General features: G+C 38.1%; 1 protein-coding gene and 1 non-coding gene across 4 annotated transcripts in view; both read right to left on the bottom strand.

Moving 5' to 3' along the window:
* Positions 1–20,844, bottom strand: part of TNKS (tankyrase) — a 226,435-nt gene that overhangs the window by 27,288 nt on the left and 178,303 nt on the right. For all 3 annotated transcript variants that reach the window (NM_003747.3, XM_011543845.4, XM_011543846.4), the window contains exons 16-20: positions 19,975–20,194; positions 19,573–19,682; positions 6,847–7,035; positions 3,213–3,450; positions 2,433–2,515 (exon numbers count right to left, since the gene is read on the bottom strand). In NM_003747.3, coding sequence (NP_003738.2) covers positions 2,433–2,515; positions 3,213–3,450; positions 6,847–7,035; positions 19,573–19,682; positions 19,975–20,194 — 840 coding nt within the window. The remainder of the gene's footprint in view (positions 1–2,432; positions 2,516–3,212; positions 3,451–6,846; positions 7,036–19,572; positions 19,683–19,974; positions 20,195–20,844) is intronic.
* On the bottom strand, positions 13,291–13,387 carry MIR597 (microRNA 597). Its single transcript, NR_030327.1, has one exon. It is a non-coding gene; the product is annotated as a microRNA 597 (primary transcript).

The raw sequence follows: 20,844 nt of genomic DNA, 5'->3' as shown, positions 1-20,844 counted from the left end.
GGTCTTTGGTTTATTTAGCAAAGATGTGTTTGAAATTTTACAATTATTGTGGAAATGATTTGGGAAGAACAGCTATAGCTGTAATATGGGAACAGCAGAGTATAATGGTTTTAAATCAGCTTTCACACCTTCAGTTAGGGAATAAGGATGAAGCAGTCTTACTATTTAGGATATTGTCCTAAGAAAGCTCCAAACCAGAGGATGAATAAATGGTTGGAAAAGAAAATGATTTTATAGACAGCAGTCTATAAAGTCCTAACCATTAGACGCAAAGGCACCTGTGATGCATCACTGTATTAAAAGCTGACACAGCAGCACAATATTACTGAGGATTTTAACTCTCTGAACATTTATAAGCATTAGGTTTTACAGGTAAAGGAAGTGATAGGATAAATGTCATTCAGCCCAATTTTACACAGCTAGTAAGAGGGTAAAAATAATTAGAATTAAGGTCTTCTTTTAGTCCAGTGCTATCCCTACTCGGCTGTTCTTATCATTAAGAGCATTAAAGATGAACTATAATGAAAAAATGTAGCTAAAAAAAAGAGAGAAAGCAGAAAAAAAATCTTAACAGTATAATTGATATAAATAAGAAAAAAGACCTGGTTTTTAAGTTAACTCCAAACTGACTATAAGCCTAGAAGGGAACCATAATGGGCCAAAGGTGCCAGTGAAATACTGGAAAATTATGTCATATAAAGAATAATTGAAAAAACAGATTTATTCTAAAATAGGGGAAGATGTGTAGAGGTGGGTGATTGAAAGGGTGACACCTCTGATAAGTTGACTAGGTCTTAAAAAGATATCTAGGGCCATATTATGTTGTAGTGGGCTGAATGGTGGCCCTCAAAATGATACGTCTATGTTCTAATCCCCAGAACCTGTGAATGTCACCTTCCTTGGAAGAAAAGTGTCTGCAGACGAAATTATGTTAAGGGTCTAGAGATGAGGAGATCACCCAGGATTATACTGGTGGCCTCAAATTCAATGCAAATGTCCTTAGAAGAGATAGAGAGGACAGGAAGGCAATGTGAAGATGGATGCAGAGACTGGAGTAGCATGGCCACAAGCCAAGGAAGCTGCCAACCATCAGAAGCAGGAAGAGGCATGGAATAGATTCTCCCCTACAGCCTCTGTAGGGAGTATAGTCCTCTGAAACTGAATACATATGTAGACTGGAGATTAGATCTCTGTGCAAAACAGGGTAAGCGTAAGCGTAAGCTGAAAACAAAGGAATTATACCTACGGGCAGATTTTGGCACACTTTAAGTTACAAGCATTCTATTACACCTGTCCCAAATTGTAACAAGATATCTTCCTTGGCTGGAGGACTAACATGGGTGTTATTATACAAGGGTGATCCCTACACCTGGGAGAATAATTTTTCTCTAAACACCTTTCCCATTCTTAAATTTCATGTATATCAATAGTCCATTTAAATTCAGGAGTTACCATCATTCAATATTTAAAGCTGATCATAATAATGAAAGCATACAATATTACAACTCCTTATCCTGTATGAAAACAGTAAAACAAACAGAAGAATCCTAATTCATAAATGCCCTAATGATGACTCCATCCTTAGACCTTCACAGACATTTAAGATGGATCCCAAAATAGGGTGGGTCTATTGGAATGTATGGCCAACTTTTGGTTTAATATTATTTAAGACTCCAAGTGGACAACAGAAACTTCATAAAGGGGCAATTTTTTAAAAGTGCAGTTGTCTAAGTACTACTGTGCTTTCCAAATTAATGGGCAACTGCTTCAGGAGCCTAGTCACATGAATAATGAAATGAGATGAATAAAGACTGACATTTTTCGGAAACAAACAACCAAGGACAATCATGAAAACATTCTTTTGAGGTAGTTGCATGGTCTAAGTTTTGACATGTAATAAAATGCATAGTGCTAGACTGCTTATAAAGATAAAATAAAGACTCATTTGTTAGACAATTTTGGGGAGAAGTATAAAATACTGGGCTCCTCTGGCTTCTTATAGAAATGTGTTGTGGGTTTAAGAATAGCTCGTAAGAAGCAAAAGAGGAAGAGGTGGGTGGCAATTAATAAGTCTTTCTTTTTTTTTTTTTTTTCGAGATAGGGTTTTGTTTTGTCGCCAAAGCTAGAATGCAGTGGCACAATCACAGCTCACTGCAGTTTCAAACTCCTGGGCTCACATGATCTTCCTGCTTCAGCTTCCCAGCAGCTAGCACTACAGGGGCCCAGTAAGTCACCATGCTCAGCTAACTTAAAAACTTTTTTTTTTGTAGAGATGGGGGTCTCGCTTTGTTGCCCAGGCTGGTCTCAAACTCCTGGGCTCAAGCAATCCTGCCGAAGCATTCCAAAGTGTTGGGAGTAAGGTGTGAACCACTGCATCCAGCCTAATCTTAGTATTTAATTTAAATGACTCAAATATATACAAGAGTATTTACCTGTTCTGTTTCAAAGATATCCCGAAGGTGTTCAAGGCCAAGGCTTTTTAGAAATTGGCTGATATTCATGTCAAGACCAGCAACTAAAACAGAAACATATTAAAGATTCTCAGAAAGAATTCTCTAAATATAAAGAAAATTTCAGTATCCATTTAGACATGACTCTGACAACCTTGGCTGTCAGATGATTTTCCATGGCATAAAATAATACAGAATACACAGATTTAATTTAGACACTTTATTTCTGAAGTTGATTGGGAAGTAAAAACAGAGTGTTTTATCTTTATCAAATTAGTATTTGTATTCTAATATTATGGTTAGAATATAGAATTATAACTTATTGTAATTTATAAAAATATAGAGAATATTATACTAATTTTAACATTATAGTATAATTCTTATACTACAGAATGCTACTTATATAGAAACATCTAAAGCTTTTAATGAATTAAAAAATCTAAATGTATCAGCTATCATTTTAGTTTTCATTCCTGAAATGACCTCTCAGTTGTGTTCTGACACAATTTCAGTATAAGTGGTTCAATAAGATGCTATGGTTGTAAACAGATGCTCTAGAATATACAGAAATAAGAACAACGACAATGCCAAGAAACGTGGCAGCCTTCTATGAAGAAATATTTCTTGTAAGATGTTGTGTGTATGAAAATTTACAGACAGGACGTCTCTAATTGAGGCATTCAATAGTTATCAATAGAAAAAAGTCATTCTGCTCCACTAACAAAAGGTATAAATAAATAAGCATTCATGGGGTCTACTCACCTTCTCCTTCCTTCCTTTCTGTTCCCGCGGCGCCATCCCCTGCATTGGAGGCTCCTCCTACGGCCAACTCTGCTAAAGGGCCAGTGAGGTTGTCTATGCTGCTGGCAGCCGAGAGGCAGGAGGGGGTGGATGCTGGTGAGATCAGAGAGGCACTCACTACAGTAGCCTGAGGTTTAAAACAGGTAGGTAAGGCCTCTGGGGGCATGGCATCTATCAGCAAAGCTCTGATATCGTCAGCCTAAAAAAATGATTAAAAACAAAAACCATGAAAATACTATATATTAAAATGGTAAGTTTTTCACTGATAACCAAATACTTTGTGGATTTTTTCCTTAATGAATGCCTCATTATCACCTACTGGTTTTTGATCATTCCTTCTCCTATCCACAGCTCCAAAGAGTTTCAATAGTTTCAGTAGACAGAATTGGAGAAACTATGTAATTTTTAAAGATATTTCTTCTTTCATTTAAAAAAAAGCACTTTCAGTGTTAACTGTCACCCTTCTTTAGAAAAAATTTCTGTGTTTACTATATTTTGTTTACGTTTAAACAGCTATAATCTGGTTATTTACTTCACACTTAATAATTTCATGTACAATTAACATCTGGTGAAATTTCAAAGGGATGACACTTTAATTTAGCTCATTTATTCATAAACTTTTCAGTTTTTAAGTATTAGATGCAACTGCTTTTCGAGTATGCGGGAGATAGTCTCCAAAGACAGCCACCCATCAATTCCTTCCTCCCGTCATGTATGCCTCCCCTTGAATTTCTGCCCCCTACCCGCCGAATGTGGTTTGCCCTGTGAGTTGTCTTGACCAATAGAATGGAGAAGAAGTGACATTCTGAGGCTTTTGAGCCAGGCTTTAAGTGGATTGGCAGTGTCTACTTTTACTCTCTTAGAAGCCATCTGCCATGTTGTACAGAAGTTTGGGCTAGACTACTGAGTGGTGAGATCCTATGCAGGGAGAGCCCTGCGGGATGAAAGGCCATCTTGGAAGCTCCAGCCTCTGCTGAGTTCCCAGGTGCAGGTAACTGCAAAACCAGAACCACCCAGCTGAGCCCAGTCAACTCCCAGACGTGTGAGAAATAATAAATTGTCACGTTAAACCCTCAGTGGGTTTGGGGGTGGCTTAGTGGGCAGCAATAGAGAAATGAAATGCACACCAGTACCTGGAAGTGGGGTGCTGGTGGACATGTGGCTTTGGTTGGAGGCGTGAAGGGTGGCCTGGTTATTGCTGAGGGAGGCTGTGAATGGAAGATAGATAGGCAAGTGCTACTGAAGGCGAGAGAAAGGGGACTAATGCTGTGTAGCAGAAAGTTTGGCAACGCTGCCACAGGAGGTCTTACGGAAGGTAGAACGTAAACCTAAATAAATTTGTAAATTTGGCTAAGGAAATTTCCAGAACAAATTCTGCCTTGTCAACTGGACTGGTGTGTTTATCTGCCCATGATAAGGTACAGGAAGAGAGAAAGGAACTGTCCAGTTCTCTTTAAGGAAATGTATTCACCTAACATTTGCTAGCTTAGAAAACAAAATTATTCACCATTCCCAGCCTCTCCATCAGCAAAAGTTTCTTCAAGTAAGGCACAGCCTCAGGCCAAAGGTCAAATCCAGCGTGCTGACAGGAAAACATGGCCTCAGAATAAAAATCAACTAGAGGTACAGATATATTACCTCAAAATCTTTAAAAAACCTCTAAGGTGGTACCTTGTGAATTCCCTTGGCTAGATGAAAGAGCTTCAAAGGATCTTATGGGCATTGTCCCACTGCACCTTTACTTGGATTCCATGTTAGAGAGGGACCTGTCTTGAAAAGATTTGTGGGTGGAGCTTTTGGCTGATGGAGTGGTGTGTAATTTGATGGGAAATCCAAAAGTTTACAAAGGAAGAGTTGTACTAGTTTGGACTAAAAGGGACAGGTAGATCAAAATGATAAAAGGCTCAGGGTCCCGAAAATTTCTAGGAGCAGGGAACAGGTTGAGAAAGCCACTTGGCTGTAAATATGATCCATTTCTTATGAAAAGAGAAGGATAATTCAGAGGGCATGGCCAAGAGCTACAGAGGCTATGTACAGTGGTTCACACCTGTAATCCCAGCACTTTGGGAGGCTGAGGAAGGAGGCTGAGGGAGGAGCCCAGAAGTTCAAGACTAACCTGGGCAACATAGCAAGACCCTGTCTCTACAAAAAGTAAAAACAAAAAAAATAGCCAGGCATAGTGGCATGTGCCTGTAGTCCCAGCTACTCAGGAGATTGAGATACGAGGATGGCTTGAATCTAAGAGGTTGGGGTTGTGGTGAGCCATGATCACGCCACTGCACTCTGGCTTGGGTGACATAGCCAGACTGTGTCTTAAGGGGGAAAAAAAAAAAAAAGAAAAGAAAAAAAAGGAAAAAAAAAGACAGCCACAGTGAACCACTCCCTGGGAGCAGAACTGGGCCCTAATCAGGGATCATTCCCTAACTCCAGAGTAGATGGCCCTGATAACATGTGTCTGGCTGAATTTTAGAATTGCTAAGGACCCAGTGATGACTATCTGCCCCCTGTTGGTGGGGGGAGCACGTGGCAGGTGAGTGTAATTTGAATGTGGGAAAAATAGATTTAATTTGTATTCACAGGGAAGACTGTGGCTGATTAAAGATGGCCACGAAATTTTTGCTTCTCCTTTCAAAGAAGGTGGAATCTGTTTTCCTATCCCTTGAACCTGAGCTGACTTCATGACTTGCTTTGCACAACAGAATGTGGCAGAAGTGACAGCATGTCAGTTCCAGGCTTAGCCTTAAAGAACAATGACAGCCTCTGCTTTCTCCCTCTTGAGATACAATTATTCTGTGAAGAAATTCTAACAAGACCACTTAATGATGAGATGCCACATGGGACTAGAGAGGCCCCTGCCTTCTAGTTGTATCTGTCAAGGCCCCAGGCATATGAATGAAGCCGTCTTTATGTTTCTGCCCCAGCCACCAGCTATATGCAGTTGCACAAGTGACCCCAGGTAAGACCAGAAGAATCTCCTAGCCAACATACAGAATCATAAGAAATAATAAGTCATTATTATTTTAAGCCACTGGGTGTTTTGAAACAGTTTGTTACGCAGCAATCAATAAATGAAACAGAACATAACTTGAAAAAACATTTCTGGCTTAAAAATTAGAAATTACTGTGACTATACAGTAACTCCCTGGTTTTCAGAAAGTTCACGGAAGATGATGCAGTGCTTAACTTTGCAGTTAAATAATACTGCCCAGAGTTAATTTTTCTTTGACTATCTCACAGACTTAGGTAAATTATCATGAACATTAGTTGCTCTACAATAACATGCCAAATATAGAAGGTACAAGATATTTTACTAAATATAATTCTTTGAGGGTACACTCTAAAAACATGTTTTCTTAAGATCCATGTTTTCCCAGCAGGCTAAGAATGGCAAAAAATTAAATTAACTTACTGTTTAGTTTGTCTTAAGAGTTTTAAATTATATTTTCATAGAAAAAGTGTGAACTTCAAAAATTTTCAGAAGATCTCTGTTCTAAGTGAAATAAACACGACTAAAAGTAAGCTGGTGAACCCGAGAATCTGATGTCATCTGTGAAAGTAGAAGGAACAATAATCAGTATCTGAAATGAGGACTTACTGTTGCCAGATCCAGAGGCGTCTGGCCTTCCTGGTTCTTCATGGTGGGGTCTGCACCATGCGCTAGGAGGAGGGCGCACAGCTGCGTCCTTCCTTTCTGGGCTGCTTCATGGAGGGGAGTAAACGCCCACTTATCTGTTGCATTTACACACGTGTTGTATTTTATCAATAAAGCCGCTATGTCAACATGCTGAAAAAAAAGAAAAGGATACAAAGAGTTAAGAATGAGATCATCTGGTAAAGCACCATTGTGTATACCTGTTTTTATTTAACAATTCACTCCTCTGTATCTCCATTTTCATCCTTAACAGAAGTTTCTTCTAAAAAAAAGAGTATTTCAGTCTTCTACTTACACTTTGGACTCCATCTTTTCTTGCCTCCTTCAAAATCTCAATTACACAATTATACTATTACCCTGTAACTGTTCATGGGCTTTTTTTCAAAAAATGCATCCCTCTAATATATTCAACTTTATTTTAAAAACAAATACTTTGTAAGGTGTTTCATTCTGTAAAGTGAAACTAGTACCTAATTCAAATCTTCTGTTAATGGTCTAATCTATCTGCCAAACTTTTCAAATATGCATTCTATTCACATTGATTCTCTTATCTTCCCATTTCTTTTCTACCTACTGCAATCAGATTTACTGAAATACTCATCTCAAAGATTCTCAATGTTTTCTCTTTAGCCTTTGAAAAAGCAACATAACATTTTATGAAAATTGGTCTGTTATGTCTAAATGATTGCCGGGTGGAGGAAATGTTAGCAGCAGACATGCTAATAACCTGGGCATGAGGTGATGAGACCCTGAACCATTGACAGTTACAGAAAAATGGAAAAGAAGGGCTAAATCTGAGAAATTTTGAAAGAAAAAAAATTGTGTTTAAAAGCCAAATTCACAACAGAAGAGAGAGAGAGAAAAGTCAAAGATGACTACATTTTTTTGAGGGGGGGAAGGAGGGGGGAATCTGGAAGATTAGAAAATAAGGTAGAACTATTAAAAGAAATTGAGTTGTAAAAGTTTAAGTAGGGGCTGGGTGCGGTGGCTCACGCCTGTAATCCCAGCACTTTGGGAGGCTGAGGTGGGCGGATCACCTGAGGTCAGGAGTTCGAGACCAGCCTGGCCAACATAGTGAAACCCCGTCCCTACCAAAAATACAAAAATTAGCTGGGCATGGTGGTGCATGCCTGTAATCCAAGCTACTCGGGAGGCTGAGGCAAGAGAATCACTTGAACCCAAAAGGCGGAGGTTGCAGTCAGCTGAGATTGCACCACCGCACCGCAGCCTGGTTACCAGAGCAAGGCTCCGTCTCAAAAAAAAAAAAAAAAAAAGTTTAAGTAGGTATGAAACTCTCAGATAAGGCTCACTGAGGTAGGCACCTTCTGAGGTAAAACATCAAAGTAAAGACATTGTGCAGATCGTTTGTCAGAAAAGGTTGGAGCACAGTCGAGGGGGCATCATTCACTTACTCACTCTCCCACCACTCACCTACCAACCAGCATTTGCTCAATACCTATGGAGGGCTGAGGACTGGGGCTGGGGGCTCCAGGGAGATTACGAAATGGAATAGGGGATTAATAGTTGTAGCTACTTGATAAATGAGCTCATTAAGGAAAGGAATACAGAAAGATAATTACAAGGTGGATAAAACCTTGAAAACAACAATATTTTGGAAAAGGAGAGTGGAAGAAAAATCCTCAGAGGAGACAAAAGGAAAAATGGAAGCTGGAGAAGAACTATAAAGGAGCAGGACTATAAAAGCCAATACAGAAGCAAGTTCCATGGAGACCAGGTTCACTCAAGCAAGAGCTCCACATAGCAAAAGGCTTCAGCTTCTTCCCAAAAATCCTTATAAAATAAGCTAAGACAATCGATCACACAATAGGCACTACTGATTCAACAAATAGGCTTTTTAAGAATATTAAAAATAACTTGTATATTTTTATAAATACATTTAGGATGTTAGGCTGGTTAGCACTTAAGTATTTCTGAGATCCATTTCAACTCCAGTATGCTATAATTTGGTGCAACTGGCACATTTGTGTCCCTTACAGACACATTTCTGGGCATAACTTGGTCAGTTTGGATAATTAACTCAAAAGCACATCATCTATTGAAAATAAATTTCTAACTCATGCTGCTGCTCGACTACCACACATTGAGGCTTTTAAGGAAGACATTTATGAGAATGGGAAAAGACAGGGAAGGCCAAGAAAGATCCCAAGATGCAACTTAATGCATGTCACTTTCTATCTTCCTTAAGATATCGTCTTCCCTGCACTCTTGAAGACACTCACTTCAAAAAGAACAGGCACTTTTTCTGAGGTAGTATTTAACTTTATGTAATATAAATATCTGTATTTCCTAATTTTAGAAATAGTAGTTTCTGAAAACAAAGTGAAGAACATTTATCTAAAAACAAAAGTACAGATCAGCCAACTACTAAGGAAAGCTTCCACATTTGCTCTAATAATACAAAGCAAAAAACGCCCCCAAAAACAAAAAATAGGCCAGGTGTGGTGGTTCAGGCCTGTAATCCCACCACTTTGGGAGGCCGAGGCCAGCAGATCATTTGAGGTCAGGAGTTTGAGACCATCCTGGCCAACATGGCGAAACCCCATCTCTGCTAAATACACAAAAATTAGCTGGGTGTGGCGCCACACACCTGTAATCCCAGCTACTTGGGAGGCTGAGGCAGGAGAATCGCTTGAATCTGGGAGACGGAGATTGCAGTGAGTCAAGATTGCACCACTGCTTTCCAGCCTGGGTGAAGAGTGAGATTCCATCTCAAAACAAAACAAAACAAAAAACCCCATAAACAAAAAATAAAATAAATAAGCAGCATAATCAGACTAAGTCTTCTCAGAACAGGATGTTTTGTGATTCTTCTGGGATTATAATATCACTATAAAATTAATTCTATAGCTTAATTATTTTTAAATTTTCTAACACAAAAGATGAAAACAGAGGTACCACTCGTGGTATTATCAAAATCACCTAAAACAAAACCAAACCTAGTAATTTATCTCCCTTATTCAAAGGCTATATGTTGAAAAAAGGCAGCAATTTTTGTTAAGTTAACCCAAAAGCACGGAATAATTTCAAGCTTCTCCCCAGTGAGGTTACAAGCTACTTAAACTGTGTTTCTGATGATTAATTTTATTGAACTCCCATGTTTACAGGCCGAATAATATAATCTGGTAGACTAATTTACACAGGCTTCCAAAATTACAAAAAGTCCAAGGAAAATTACCTGTTTCTGTATGTGTGTATAAAATGAATTGTATATCTGGTATGTATTATTAAGCTTTCTTTATATTGAAGTTATAGTTTATGCTTGGACAAACCAACTACATGCTTGTGAAATTTTCTGACAAATGTCTGAAAGAACAATGAACAGGAAGGAGTATATTACTACCCAAATAGACTAAAAATACAGTTCTTAAGCTGTTTAATTCTTTTAAATAGCTACACCATTGAGGCAAAAATAGTAACTGGAATTTAAGGCTGACAAATCCAATAAATAGCAGTTCAGTTCTATTCAACACAGTATATAAGAGCAAAGTATTGAACTAGAAGGTCCAGAAAAGAAACTGATCTCTGTTGGAATGTTTCCAGGAGAAACAGACAATTTAACCTAGTTTCAGAATCCAGCTGCAATACAAAATGCTTTAAATGACAAATACAACCTAAAAAGACTGGGAAGCTTTTAATTTTAAAAAGGTGGGAAGTAGGGGAAAGAGAAACATGCTTGGCTTCAGTTAAAGCCATTTAATTGTACAGAGGCTTTATTACAATTATGTCATGAAATTCCCCAAATGTTATCCATTTTAGAGAAAGCACTGGAAAATAAAAACAGTTGAGAGAAAATGAATCAGTCAATTGATTTACTCTTATAAGATATAAATTTACATGCTTTGTGGTAATAAGTATCAATGCCATTTACTGACTTAGCAGAAAAGTTAACTGTCTTGTATAAACATGTATTCAAATATAACACAAGGCATTATTATATAAAGAACACCGACACAGTAAGGCACACTACCACTAATATCAACTCTCATGCAACTTGTAATTTTTATTGATGCTTCTTAAATAAATATGTATTTTTTTCTCCATTTGGAAAAACTGAGGTTCTTTTTATACAAAAAAGGCTCAAAGACACACACAGAGCAGATTGAGCTCTCTAGGGGAAAAAAGTAAATAAGTATGAAGGAATAATGATCAATAAATAACTACATAAGTAAATAACTATGTAATTTCACAGCTACCTCAGATTATTATTTCATCCTCAGCCTAGTCAATTAATCTGTGTTTATTTAACACAGCACTGAGCCAGTCAAATATATAGATTATTCCTAAGGCTGTGAAATGTAGGAGTGACATGCAGCCCTTATTCTGACTGGCTTAGTACAGGAACTGTGGGAAGCAAGGAATTTACTAATTTTTAATATCTATACATCTATAGATATGGATATGTATTTTTTGGTAGAAATGGGGTCTCGCTATGTTGCCTAGGCCGGTCTTGAACTCTTGGGCTTGAAAGATCCTCCCGCCTCAGCCTCCCAAAGTGCTGGGATTATAGGCATGAGCCATTGCACCCGGCCATGAAGCAAGTTATTTTATAATAACAGTATTACCTTGCATTTTTATAATGCCTTACATTAGTTAATGCAATTTCCACATGCATGGTCTCATTTAATCATTACAACAAGCTGGAAAGGAGGTCTTGGAATCCAACTTTTACTACTGAGAAAACCAAAGATGAGAAAAAGTTAGACACTTGCTGAAGACTACTGGGTTATAAAACAGAAGAGGAAAGACTAGATCCCAGATATTCAGACCCTAAGTTCAGGTTTTTCCATTAAACCACAGGTGCCTGCAGAGTTTGCTAGACTAAAACACAAGAGCCATTTTCCTTCCAAGCTGAAAATGGGAAAGAGATAATATTAGGAAGAAGAAATGATTTAAGTAGAGATCACTGGGTAACACTATACCTACAGTTGCTCTATAAATTGCTTGATTTTCAGAATAGAAGCTGTATTCCAGATGATATGCCACAGAAAATCTACTCCACAAAATGATATGTGGCCAGGCTAGTTCAAGCATCATCAAATTCATGGGACGAATACAACATAATCAGTGTTTTTCTATCCTAATAGAAATGTAGACTGGAGTCCTATGATTTCATTAAAATATCCAGCCAAGGCAGGATAGAATGAATAAAAAGGAACTTTTGAAAGATACACAGATTTATCAATCTACAAATAATAGAACACAGTTGTATCTACTCTTAAGGGGAGACAAAGTAGCTTTTTAAACTTTTTATATTGTGTTAATATTAGTACTCCTTAAATATATAAATGTATGTATTTATTACTCCTTAAATATAAGGATATACATGTATATCCTTAAATATATAAGTATATATATTTAAGGAGTACTAATAAATACTTCTTAATTTAATTCATTATATTTTAAATAAATATTTATTAAATATTTATTTATAAATAATTATATAGAGATAGGGTCTCACTATGTCGCCCAGGCTGGTCTCAAACTCCTGGCCTTAAACCATGTTGCTGTCTCAGCCTCCCAACGTGCTGAGATTGCAGAAGTGAGCCACCATGCCTAGCCTTACTTTAAGTCTATTAATTGAGATTAAGAGAAATACTACTTAATATGGTTACTGATTGGTTACTAATAATAGATTATAGGTTTTACAAGTGGCATAAAATAAAATTATTTTGCGGAGCAGAGATCGTGAACAGGGAAAATACCAACTGAGAGTCACTGTATGTCATGCGAGATTGCTGAGGGAAGTGGGTTGCCCATGTTAAAAAACAAAAAAAAGGTATTATCACACTCATGTATCTGACCAAAAAAAAAAAAAGGTAATTAAAAAAAGGTCTAGAAATCACCAGAGTCAAAGTTTGCCAAAAAAAAGTAACAGTCATCAACTCACGGATGCCTGATTTTTAAATTTACAAGTTTAATACATGAAAAAAATTTTTGAGTGACTCAATCCACCCTCACAATGAGGTAAAAATACCTGCTATAAACACATTATGTAGCCCATTTGCATTCTTCCATACAAGGATGAGATGAACCAGGTTGATCAAAACCTCTATCAAATGCCCTTTACAAGGCCTGGAGAATTTTTTGATCATTCTCACCTCAGTAAGTTACCTTCATTTACAAAGAGCTAAGTAGTAGGGATTTAACAAACATAAAAAGAGGATACCATAAAAAGAGATAGTGAAAAAAAGTGTTCATTATTTTTTCTTACTTGGAGTTAGAAAAGGAGAAGGGGAGTTATGGGTGATGGTGAATAAAGTTTATGAAAATGAAAGAGTGGACTTCCGGTCAGGAGACCGATTGCATTACACCTCTCTTCAGGTGACAGCAAGTCAGCCTCAAGGGAACGTGAAGTTAGACAAGGTCGACCAGTACTCTACATTACGCTTGAGCCACAAGAGAACCACTGTACATTTTACTGTCTTCACAGTGGTCATCGAGTGACACACACGTAGAGTAAGTAACATCTTAACTGATGGGGATCAAAAGGTAAAATACTTAGTTTATAAATTAACTTTCCTTTATCCTCTGTGACAGCTATAAAGACTGTGCAAGGTGAAGACTAATGCAGTAGAACACATCTTAACGCTATCCCATGAGAAGAATGAGGATCAAAAGGTAAAATACTTTATAAATTAATTTTTCTTTTCCTTATCCTCCGTGACTGCTATAAAGACTGTGAAAGGTGAAGGCTAATGGAGTAGAACTTCCTTACATCCACAATGTATGGGATCTACTGTAGTCTACACAGTTGACAGTGTAACATAAGCCTTACTAGATCAGTTCATTATTATAATTCTATGGCCACCATCTGTCCCTACTCATAGTAAGTTTACAGAGACGATAAAAGATCTAATTTCAGTTCTACCGATCCCATTGGCTTTATAAACCCTTAACTGAAGCTTAGCAAAAGGATTAGTAGAAAACCATATGAAGAGAACAATTATGCTAAGAAGTGCTGAAAATTTGTCTCCAAATGATATACATGTGTAAGTTATAACTTAAGGGTCAAGAATTACATGTAGGCCGGGCGTGGTGGCTCACGCCTGTAATCCCAGCACTTCGGGAGGCCGAGGCAGGCGGATCACGAGGTCAGGAGATAGAGATCATCTCGGCTGACACGGTGAAACCCCGTCTCTACTAAAAATACAAAAAAAATTAGCTGGGCGTGGTGGCAGGCGCCTGTAGTTCCAGCTACTCGGGAGGCTGAGGCAGGAGAATGGCGTGAACCCGGGAGGCGGAGCTTGCAGTGAGCTGAGATAGCGCCACTGCAGTCCGACCTGTTCTCAAAAAAAAAAAAAAAAAAAACAACAAGAATTACATATAAATGTATATGTAGTATGTTAGCAGCAAATATTTAGCATGCTAAGTCTTTGGTAGAAGTATTTGTTGCTCAGAGAAATTGAGAACCTTATGTGAAGGAAGGTTAAAATTTCTACGAATTTTAATAAAAGACTACTCATCTTTAGAAAGGTAACTTTAAATACTGTAGTTTCAAGAGGATTTCAGTACTAACACTCATTAAATATGATACTTTCAATTAATTTATATCATACTTGGAAGCATAGTTTTCTTTCAAAAAACCGGATTGTTGCTTTCCTTAAAAGTATCCTCACTCAGATTTGTCCTCTCTCTGAAATACAGGTCTTTGTAAAATGGGTCTGAGAGACGACAGTCTCATTACAAAGGGCCAGGGAGAAGGCGGTAGGAGGAAGAATATGGTAATCAAGGTGGTTGGGTTGGTTTGGTTTTTATTTATAGTTTGTCAGGCTTTTGCAAATCTAGAAACCACCTTCTATCAAGAGTGATTCCAACTGTGAGAACACCTGGTACGTATGAACTGGCATCTGTGGGTTTTTACAGTCAAGAAGGGATTAAGTGGATGAACTGTCAAGCACATGAGCATTCATCCTATTTCTGCCGTGAGCCAGGCTTGAGTGGGCCTTAGTTACTTCCAGTCAGTCAGTTCTGACATACGGCATCAAGGCACTGCAATCCATCTCTCTTCCTCTTACAACTGATGACAGTGTTTGAAAGGATAACTCTGGACTTTCTTTTTTTTTTTTTTTTTTTTTTTTTATTATACTCTAAGTTTTAGGGTACATGTGCACATTGTGCAGGTTAGTTACATATGTATACATGTGCCATGCTGGTGCGCTGCACCCACTAATGTGTCATCTAGCATTAGGTATATCTCCCAATGCTATCCCTCCCCCCTCCCCCGACCTCACCACAGTCCCCAGAGTGTGATATTCCCCTTCCTGTGTCCATGTGATCTCATTGTTCAATTCCCACCTATGAGTGAGAATATGCGGTGTTTGGTTTTTTGTTCTTGTGATAGTTTACTGAGAATGATGGTTTCCAATTTCATCCATGTCCCTACAAAGGATATGAACTCATCATTTTTTATGGCTGCATAGTATTCCATGGTGTATATGTGCCACATTTTCTTAATCCAGTCTATCATTGTTGGACATTTGGGTTGGTTCCAAGTCTTTGCTATTGTGAATAGTGCCGCAATAAACATACGTGTGCATGTGTCTTTATAGCAGCATGATTTATACTCATTTGGGTATATACCCAGTAATGGGATGGCTGGGTCAAATGGTATTTCTAGTTCTAGATCCCTGAGGAATCGCCACACTGACTTCCACAATGGTTGAACTAGTTTACAGTCCCACCAACAGTGTAAAAGTGTTCCTATTTCTCCGCCTCCTCTCAAGCACCTGTTGTTTCCTGACTTTTTAATGATTGCCATTCTAACTGGTGTGAGATGATATCTCATAGTGGTTTTGATTTGCATTTCTCTGATGGCCAGTGATGATGAGCATTTCTTCATGTGTTTTTTGGCTGCATAAATGTCTTCTTTTGAGAAGTGTCTGTTCATGTCCTTCGCCCACTTTTTGATGGGGTTGTTTGTTTTTTTCTTGTAAATTTGTTTGAGTTCATTGTAGATTCTGGATATTAGCCCTTTGTCAGATGAGTAGGTTGCGAAAATTTTCTCCCATGTTGTAGGTTGCCTGTTCACTCTGATGGTAGTTTCTTTTGCTGTGCAGAAGCTCTTTAGTTTAATTAGATCCCATTTGTCAATTTTGTCTTTTGTTGCCATTGCTTTTGGTGTTTTGGACATGAAGTCCCCACTGTCAATATTAGACAGATCAACGAGACAGAAAGTCAACAAGGATACCCAGGAATTGAACTCAGCTCTGCACCAAGCAGACCTAATAGACATCTACAGAACTCTCCACCCCAAATCAACAGAATATACATTTTTTTCAGCACCACACCACACCTATTCCAAAATTGACCACATAGTTGGAAGTAAAGCTCTCCTCAGCAAATGTAAAAGAACAGAAATTATAACAAACTATCTCTCAGACCACAGTGCAATCAAACTAGAACTCAGGATTAAGAATCTCACTCAAAGCCGCTCAACTACATGGAAACTGAACAACCTGCTCCTGAATGACTACTGGGTACATAACGAAATGAAGGCAGAAATAAAGATGTTCTTTGAAACCAATGAGAACAAAGACTCCACATACCAGAATCTCTGGGACGCATTCAAAGCAGTGTGTAGAGGGAAATTTATAGCACTAAATGCCTACAAGAGAAAGCAGGAAAGATCCAAAATTGACACCCTAACATCACAATTAAAAGAACTAGAAAAGCAAGAGCAAACACATTCAAAAGCTAGCAGAAGGCAAGAAATAACTAAAATCAGAGCAGAACTGAAGGAAATAGAGACACAAAAAACCCTTCAAAAAATCAATGAATCCAGGAGCTGGTTTTTTGAAAGGATCAACAAAATTGATAGACCGCTAGCAAGACTAATAAAGAAAAAAAGAAGAATCAAATAGACACAATAAAAAATGATAAAGGGGATATCACCACCGATCCCACAGAAATACAAACTACCATCAGAGAATACTACAAACACCTCTACGCAAATAAACTAGAAAATCTAGAAGAAATGGATACATTCCTCGACACATACACTCTCCCAAGACTAAACCAGGAAGAAGTTGAATCTCTGAATAGACCAATAACAGGCTCTGAAATTGTGGCAATAATCAATAGTTTACCCACCAAAAAGAGTCCAGGACCAGATGGATTCACAGCCGAATTCTACCAGAGGTACAAGGAGGAACTGGTACCATTCCTTCTGAAACTATTCCAATCAATAGAAAAAGAGGGAATCCTCCCTAACTCATTTTATGAGGCCAGCATCATTCTGATACCAAAGCCGGGCAGAGACACAACCAAAAAAGAGAATTCTAGACCAATATCCTTGATGAACATTGATGCAAAAATCCTCAATAAAATACTGGCAAACCGAATCCAGCAGCACATCAAAAAGCTTATCCACCATGATCAAGTGGGCTTCATCCCTGGGATGCAAGGCTGGTTCAATATACGCAAATCAATAAATGTAATCCAGCATATAAACAGAGCCAAAGACAAAAACCACATGATTATCTCAATAGATGCAGAAAAAGCCTTTGACAAAATTCAACAACCCTTCATGCTAAAAACTCTCAATAAATTAGGTATTGATGGGACGTATTTCAAAATAATAAGAGCTATCTATGACAAACCCACAGCCAATATCATACTGAATGGGCAAAAACTGGAAGCATTCCCTTTGAAAACTGGCACAAGACAGGGATGCCCTCTCTCACCGCTCCTATTCAACATAGTGTTGGAAGTTCTGGCCAGGGCAATCAGGCAGGAGAAGGAAATAAAGGGTATTCAATTAGGAAAAGAGGAAGTCAAATTGTCCCTGTTTGCAGACGACATGATTGTTTATCTAGAAAACCCCATCGTCTCAGCCCAAAATCTCCTTAAGCTGATAAGCAACTTCAGCAAAGTCTCAGGATACAAAATCAATGTACAAAAATCACAAGCATTCTTATACACCAACAACAGACAAACAGAGAGCCAAATCATGGGTGAACTCCCATTCACAATTGCTTCAAAGAGAATAAAATACCTAGGAATCCAACTTACAAGGGATGTGAAGGACCTCTTCAAGGAGAACTACAAACCACTGCTCAAGGAAATAAAAGAGGACACAAACAAATGGAAGAACATTCCATGCTCATGGGTAGGAAGGATCAATATCGTGAAAATGGCCATACTGCCCAAGGTAATTTACAGATTCAATGCCATCCCCATCAAGCTACCAATGACTTTCTTCACAGAATTGGAAAAAACTACTTTAAAGTTCATATGGAACCAAAAAAGAGCCTGCATTGCCAAGTCAATCCTAAGCCAAAAGAACAAAGCTGGAGGCATCACACTACCTGACTTCAAACTATACTACAAGGCTACAGTAACCAAAACAGCATGGTACTGGTACCAAAACAGAGATATAGATCAATGGAACAGAACAGAGCCCTCAGAAATAATGCCGCATATCTACAACTATCTGATCTTTGACAAACCTGAGAAAAACAAGCAATGGGGAAAGGATTCCCTATTTAATAAATGGTGCTGGGAAAACTGGCTAGCCATATGTAGAAAGCTGAAACTGGATCCCTTCCTTACACCTTATACAAAAATCAATTCAAGATGGATTAAAGATTTAAACGTTAAACCTAAAACCATAAAAACCCTAGAAGAAAACCTAGGCATTACCATTCAGGACATAGGCGTGGGCAAGGACTTCATGTCCAAAACTCTGGACTTTCACCTGGAGGTTTTAGCTAGTAATTCCTACTCTCTGAAACCATATATATCAACTGCTCAACCATTTAATTTTTTTTTTTTTTTTTTTTTTTTAGATGAGGTCTCACTATGTTGATCAGGGTGGCCTTGAACTCCTGGGCTCAAGCGATCTTCCCACCTCAGCCTCCCGAATGGCTGGGATTACAGGCGCATGCCACTGTGCCTGCTACTCGAATATTTTTAAGGTGCTGATGATAAATGTAAGCCAACATACTTTCCATGCCTGTATAACAGCTGCACAGCTTTTCTAGTTTTTAAAATATACTTGAGGTAGAATTAAGAAATTGGTATTTATTATATTATTTTACATTATATATATTATATTACAATATTGATAAATATAAACTGAGCACCCATTACATGCCTATTATTGTGCTTGATAACGTGCTGAGACCAAAAAGCAATAAAAAGCATGACTGTTGGCCAAAAGGTAGTTAAGCTTAGCCGGGAAGATACACCAAAACTCTGAACAAAAGATTAAAATTATGCTAAATCATGCTATTAGTTAGATATCTACTTACTTAATGCATAGTATGCATTTAATAAAGTCGTAAATGCCAGGGAAGTTTTCTAGATTTTATTTTATTTATTTATTTATTTATTTTGAGTCAGAGTCTCGCTCTGTCACCCAGGCTGGAGTGCAGTGGCGCGATCTGGGCTCACTGCAAGCTCCGCCTCCCGGGTTCATGCCATTCTCCTGCCTCAGCCTCCCGAGTAGCTGGGACTACAGGTGCCCGCCACTATGCCCGTCTAATTTTTTGTATTTTTAGTAGAGACGGGGTTTCACCGTGTTAGCCAGGATTGTCTCGACCTCCTGACCTCGTGATCTACCTTCCTCGGCCTCCTAAAGTGCTGGGATTACAGGCGTGAGCCACCGCGTGCGGTCAGTTTTCTAGATTTTAATGTTAGTATGCTTACCCCATAAGATGCCGCATTATGAAGAGGAATTAAACCACCCTTGTCCTGGGCATTAACATCAGCTCCATGCTCTAGAAGATATTCAGCTACTTCCAGGTTATTATAGCCTGCTATTTAGAGTAAAAAAAATACAGGAAACGTGTCAGCTTAAAGGAAAAAAAATACATACATATGTAATAAGGACCAGAAAATGTTAAGGTTTTAATACTTTTTGCTTCAAAAGCTAATACTGTTATCACATAATGGAGGGACTTCACAATAAGAAATTATACAAAACTATGTCAATCAAGAGCATTTTACTAAGTAGTCCCATTTGTGTTCAGCATGGCTTTCGTCTTTTAGTAAACTGTATTAGGTGTCCGAGAAAGGAAAAGGAGGCTTGGAGGCACTGGGGGCGCTTACCTGCCAGGTGCAGAGGGGTTGAATTTCTGCCCTGGGTGTCTCTGCAGTTGATATTCTCTGGGGTACAGAGCTTCTGCACTCTTGCCAGGCAGCCCTTCTTGGCAGCATCCAACAAAGCAGCATCCCCTCTCAGTAAGTCCTGAATATCTGTGTCTCCTTCCTTTACCAAATCCAAAGGTGTATTTCCATCTCTGTTCTTTTTAGTTGGATCTGCTCCATGCTACAAAGAAGAAAAACCAAATGGGGTTTGTATTTTCTGTAGTAAGTAGGTAGGTAGGTAGGTAGGTAATTAATTTACTCTACCTTTGTTCCTCTGGGGAAGATATCTACTCTATATGCATTTTGAAAAACACTTTGCAAAATTCCTACTTAGTAATATAATGGATCAGCTTTCTAACTATTAATACTATACAGTCAAAGCTTCAGGATCAATGGTGATGATAAAGTAGGGAGAGTGTTAAGTATCTTTGAGACAACCTATATAATACACTTTTTCTCAGACTCCAAGTTGTCTTTGGAAACCTATTTTACTTTGAAGAATAGCATGGATGTTAATTTTGACCAGATTCAATTACATAAAGATACTCAGTAGGTATGAAAAAGAAGAGAGTAGAGTAAGACACACTGGTAAAAAAGGACTTAATTCTAAAGGCCATCAGTAAGAATAAAGTTTGGTAATATTTTTAAGATTTTTATCCTAAGTCTTAACATCTATCATGAAATTAGATATAAATGTATTAAAAATTATAGATTTTAAAAGTTTAATTACCAATAGCTATTAAATAAAGTAAATAGAAGTCAATAATTTTTATTATGGGTCGGCCACAGACTGTCATGGGCTCACTGCGGAAATTAGTTGTAAGTCAAGGT

The sequence above is a fragment of the Homo sapiens genome, chromosome 8, assembly GCF_000001405.40.
Source record: "Homo sapiens chromosome 8, GRCh38.p14 Primary Assembly".
Taxonomy (NCBI): domain Eukaryota; kingdom Metazoa; phylum Chordata; class Mammalia; order Primates; family Hominidae; genus Homo; species Homo sapiens.
The sequence above is the reverse complement of the archived record's forward strand: the minus strand, read 5'-3'. Positions and strand labels throughout refer to the sequence as shown.